This window comes from Homo sapiens, chromosome 15 (genome assembly GCF_000001405.40).
Source record: "Homo sapiens chromosome 15, GRCh38.p14 Primary Assembly".
In the NCBI taxonomy this organism is placed as follows: domain Eukaryota; kingdom Metazoa; phylum Chordata; class Mammalia; order Primates; family Hominidae; genus Homo; species Homo sapiens.
In genome coordinates, this window is record NC_000015.10 from 49,694,664 (window position 1) to 49,699,933 (window position 5,270).

The following is a 5,270-nucleotide window of genomic DNA, read 5'->3' on the forward strand; positions in this document are numbered from 1 at the left end:
AGCCATATTCATTTACTTTAAATGAATGCATAGAATTTCTGCTTAATAATGATAGCTGTTTTTTTAATTTGAAAATTTTGGGGTTCCTAATGTGTTTACACACACACATACACACACAAACGTATATATATATATGGAATTTGGGAAAGGGGGGATATTTGAGTAATAGTAATTTGATCTACTAATTTAGCGTCAATCTCCATGGGGAATTCTTAATTTTATATTTAATGATTCTCTCAGCACTCAAAAAACATATGCCAATATCCTTAAAATGAAAGTCTCCTAAGATTGCCTGGGGTTAATGTGTTGTAAATATTTCCTAGTAATAAAAAAGGGGGGAAACTTGCACATTTCAAGCCACTTTAATGCATTTTGACTCAGCTATGACAAATAGCTGCCCCAAGTAAATGCGTCAAAATGACTTTCTAGTAAATAGCCTTGCAAAACTGACTCCAAGTTTCCTTGTTACAAGTAACAACTTAGGGATAGAAATTACTTTAGACTTATAGAATGTAGAGAATTTTGCTCTTTTTATGATGAGAATGATGGATGGAAAGCCTTCTTTCCCTTATTGCTTTGAAGGATGTATGATTGTCCCTTTTGGAAACCTCAGAACCAACCTTTATTTTCTACTGCAACAAATGTCAGATACTCAGAATATTTGAGAAATGGTGAAATCTTGTTGGCTTGCTATTTTGTTTTTCTGGTGTTTAAGAACTTTTTTTTCTTTGCATGTTTGTTTCAACAATCACTTTAGGAGAAAAGGTGGGTACAAGGAGAACATTATAAAATATATTAGTCCTTTCTCCTGCCTTAGTTGAGTATGTATTAATTCAGTAAATACTTATTGATCATCTTTGTGCTAGTCAATGTGAATTAAGAACTATATGTTTTTGCCCCCCAAAAAGCTCACTGTTTAGCAGTAAGAGATAGGCATATAAATGCAATTATGTAGTATATTAGTCAGAATAGGCTAAATGCTATAACAAACAGAGTTATTTTCAGTGTTTTAACACAACAAAGATTTATTATTTGGTTATATCACCAACCACTGGGGATACACAGAGAGGATATGGTGGGGTTTCTGCTTCACATAGTCATCCAGGTACCCAGGCTTCTTCCAGAGTGGCTCTGCCATCTTTTGGGGCCTCAGAGAGCTCCACCAGATTTTCTTTATCTGTTTAGCAGGCAAGGGAGGTTTCATGGACCAGGCCTGGAAGAGCCATTCTTACATGTCCTGTTGGTCAAAACTCAGACATGTGACTATATCAAACTTCTGACAGGCTGGAAAATATAATTTAGAATTTTCAATTTATCTTTTGCCAGTGAAATATAGACTACTAGGCATTTCAAGTTCCTCTGCATTCTAGCTTTATTGTATCTTTCCAATTATATATCCCATTTCTTCCTTCACATGATCTGGTCAAATAATTATTCCTTGTTCCCTGAGCTAGTTTTCTACATCCCATGCTCAGTTTGTTTTTATGAAAGGCTCTTCCCTATCAACTTTTTTTCCAGATTTTCTTATCTTTAGGGCCAGTTTTAAAATTCACCTCTTCTATGAAACCTCCATTATAGGAATGATACAAATTAGCTTACTCATCACTCAAACATGAAAATAAAATGTTTTTTTATAATTGATCAATACTTCCTCACAAGCTCTGTCCTTCCCAACATAAAAGTATAAAGAAAAAAAAATACTAAGCACAACTTCCAACGTAAGAGTAGGAAAAAAACTAGTTTCTATAAGTTTCAAAACGTAGCTCAATTTAATACATTAAACATCTTTAAAGCCCTTTGAACTGGATCAAAACATCTTTAGAGGTGTTGTTTAATGTGTAATATACAGTCATGTATTTAACATTTCAGTCAATGACTGATTGCAAATATGATGGTGGTCCCATAGGATTATAATGAGCTGGAAAATTCCTATCACTGAGTGGTGTTGTAGCCATTATAAGTCATTGCACAACGCATTACTCACATGGTTGCAGTGATGTTGGTGTGCACAAACCTACTGCACTGCTATTCATATAAACGTCTAGCACAGTTTTGTACAGTACATAATACTTGATAATAAGAAACAACTATGCTACTGGTTTATTATTTACTGTACTGTAAATATCATTATTTTAGAATATATGCCTTCTATTTAGAAAAGAAAAAAGCTAACTGTAAAACAGCCTTAGACTAGTCCTTCAGGAGGTATTCCAGAGGAAGGCATTGTTATCATAGGAGAGGACAGCATCATGCATTGCCCCTGAAGACCTTCCAGTGGGACAAGATGTGGAGGTGGAAGATAGTGATATTGATGATCCTGACCCTGTGTAGGCCTAGGCTAATGTGTGTTTGTCTTCATTTTTAACAAAAAAGTTTATAAAGTAAAAAAAAATATTAAAAACAGAAAAAAGTTATAGAATACAGATATAAGGAAAGAAAATATTTTCAGAGTTGTACATTTTTGTGTTTAAAGTTGTGTCATTACAAGATTCAAAAAGTTTTAAAAATGAAAAAGTTTATAAAGTGAAAAAGTTACAGTAAGCTAAAGTTAATTTATTATTGAAGGAAAATATTTTTTATAAATGAGTGTGGCCTAAGTGTACAATGTGTATAAAAACTACAGTGGTGTACAGTAATGTCACAGGCCTTCACATTCACTCAACACTTACTCACTGACTCACCCAGAACAACTTCCAGTTCTGCAAGCTCCATTCATGTTAAGCGCCCTATGGAGGTTTTTATCCTTTATACTGTATTTTTACTGTGCCTTTTCTATGTTTAGATACACAAATACTTACCACTGTGTTATAATCACCTACAATATATAGTACAGTAACCTGCTATACACATTTGTAGCCTAGGAGCAATAGGCTATATCATATAGCTTGGGCATGTAGTAAATTATACCATCTAGGTTTGTGTGTTACTTTTTACTGTACTATAAATATCATTATTTTAGAGTATGTGCCTTCTATTTAGAAAAGAAAAAAGTTAACTGTAAAACAGCCTCAGACTCGTCCTTTGGGAGGTATTCCAGAAGAAGGTATTGTTATCATAGGAGAGGACAGCAGGTTTGTGTAAGTATGCCCTATGATGTTCACACAACAAAATTGCCTAATGATGCATTTCTCAGAATGTATTCCCATTGTGATGTGACACATGATTGTATACCTGTATCTATATTTTATCTATCTTATCTATCTATCTGAAAGGTATAAATAGAACAAACAGCTATGAACCTAATACTCAGCTTAAGGAATAAAACATTATTAATGCAGCTGAATCCTCCTATACCTCCCAGTCACATCTCCCTTTATATTGAGTATTTTATACATAACCTTTCAGATTCTCTCTCCCTCACATGTCTCCTGACCCTTGGCTGTTCCATGTGAGCTGCCAGTGCCACTGCAGTACACTCAGGGCAGCGGTTCCACTGCATGAGTTCCAGCAGACAAGCACTAGAAATCCCTAGATCTTCTTACTACTTCCAGATTTGAATGAAGCTATCATGCCACAGAGCACTGGAGATGCCTTCCATAGCAGTTGTGTAAAGGCCCGGTGAGAGAACCTGGAAGCGTGGAAAAATTAGTTTCCTGACAGTAAATTATGACCGATGAGAGCAAGAAGACTGTAAGAACCTAAAATAATCATTTCTTCTCCCTTCCTTTCTCTAATGGACTGTTCTGAGGATGGTTCTTTGTGCGGCCTGTGCAGTTACATTGCTGTACTTCTCTTCCTTATCCTTTCCTGTCTCATTTTGCCTTTCCTTCACTCTTGCTGCCCTGAGATCACATCTCCCAATATTTATCCCTGTATTAGGCTCTGTTTTGGGGCCTGACCTGAGATGCCCCCTTTCACTTGCATCTGTGTGAAGAGAACACCAAACAGGCTTTGTGTGAGCAATAAAGCTTTTTAATCACCTGGGTGCAGGCGGGCTGAGTCCAAAAAGAGAGTCAGCGAAGGGAGATAAGGATAGGGCCATTTTATAAGATTTGGGTAGGTAAAGGAAAATTACAGTCAAAGAGGGGTTGTTCTCTGGCGGGCAGGAGTGGGGGTCACAAGGTGCTCAGTAGGGGAGCTTTTGAGCCAGGATGAGCTATGAGAAGGAATTTCACAAGATAATGTCATCACTTAGGGCAAGGCCCGGCCATTTTCACTTCTTTTGTGGTGGAATGTCATCAGTTAAGGCAAGGAACAGGCCATCTGGATGTATATGTGCAGGTCACAGGGGATAAGATGGCTTAGCTTGGGCTCAGAGGCCTGACATTCCTGTCTTCTTATATTAATAAGAAAAATAAAACAAAATAGTGTTGAAGTGTTGGGGCGGCAAAAATTTTGGGGGTGGTATGGAGAGATAATGCGCGATGTTTCTCAGGGCTTCTTCGAGCAGGATTAGGGGCGGCGTGGGAACCTAGAGTGGGAGAGATTAAGCTGAAGGAAGATTTTGTGGTAAGGGGTGATATTGTGGGGTTGTTAGAAGAAACATTTGTCGTGTAGAATTATTGGTGGTGGCCTGGATATAGTTTTGTATGAATCAAAAAACTAAATTTAATAAGAGAAGGAGAAAAACAGGTATTAAAGGACTAAGAATTGGGAGGATCTAGGACATCTAATTAGAGAGTGTCCAAGGGGGTTCAGCATAATTACTTGCTTGGTTGGCAAGTTTTTAGGCTCTATCCTTGAGTTTTTTATGTTGTCATACACCAGGCCAGATTGATTTAGGTAAAAACAACACTCTTCATTAAAAAATATACAGAGTCATCCTTTTTCAGCAGTAAGTCAAGGCCACGGCAGTTTTGGAGGACAACTGCAGCTAAAGAGTCAACTTGAAGTTTGCAATATGTGCATGATGCTAGCAGAGAAGTCATTAGAGAGGCTATGGAAGGTCGTGAAAGAGGTTGAAATGCCTGCTATTCCAGTACTGAGAGCAGTAGTGGAGGCAGACAGTCTTAAACCGACAAGCAAGGGAATTAATGGAATAACTCTTTTTTGTCATGTTGGTGTCATGAGGGGAACGGGGAGCTCTTCAGTCCTATTTGCAAATTGAATTTTGGGAGTAAGAAAAACTAGTGTCTATGTGCCTGTCCAATTAGCAGGTAGACACATATAGGTAGAGGATCCACAGAGGAAGAAGAGACCTTGTGCAAGGCAAAACTAGAGATGAAAGTAAAAAGATGAGAAGGAATGCTGAAAGGGGTGTCTTGTACCTAGACTCCTAGGGATCCAGCTAGGGCGGCAGCCGTCGGAGGTTTTAATGGGGACTGATGAGG

At 37.6% G+C, this 5,270-nt stretch overlaps 1 annotated feature.

Annotated features, from left to right (window-relative positions):
* Positions 3,910-4,440: an enhancer, noted in NCBI's record as "NANOG hESC enhancer chr15:49990770-49991300 (GRCh37/hg19 assembly coordinates)". NCBI's record gives its function as "activates a minimal SCP1, AML or CMV promoter by ChIP-STARR-seq in primed H9 embryonic stem cells {active_cell/tissue: H9 hESC(primed)}" and the evidence as "EXISTENCE:reporter gene assay evidence [ECO:0000049][PMID:30033119]".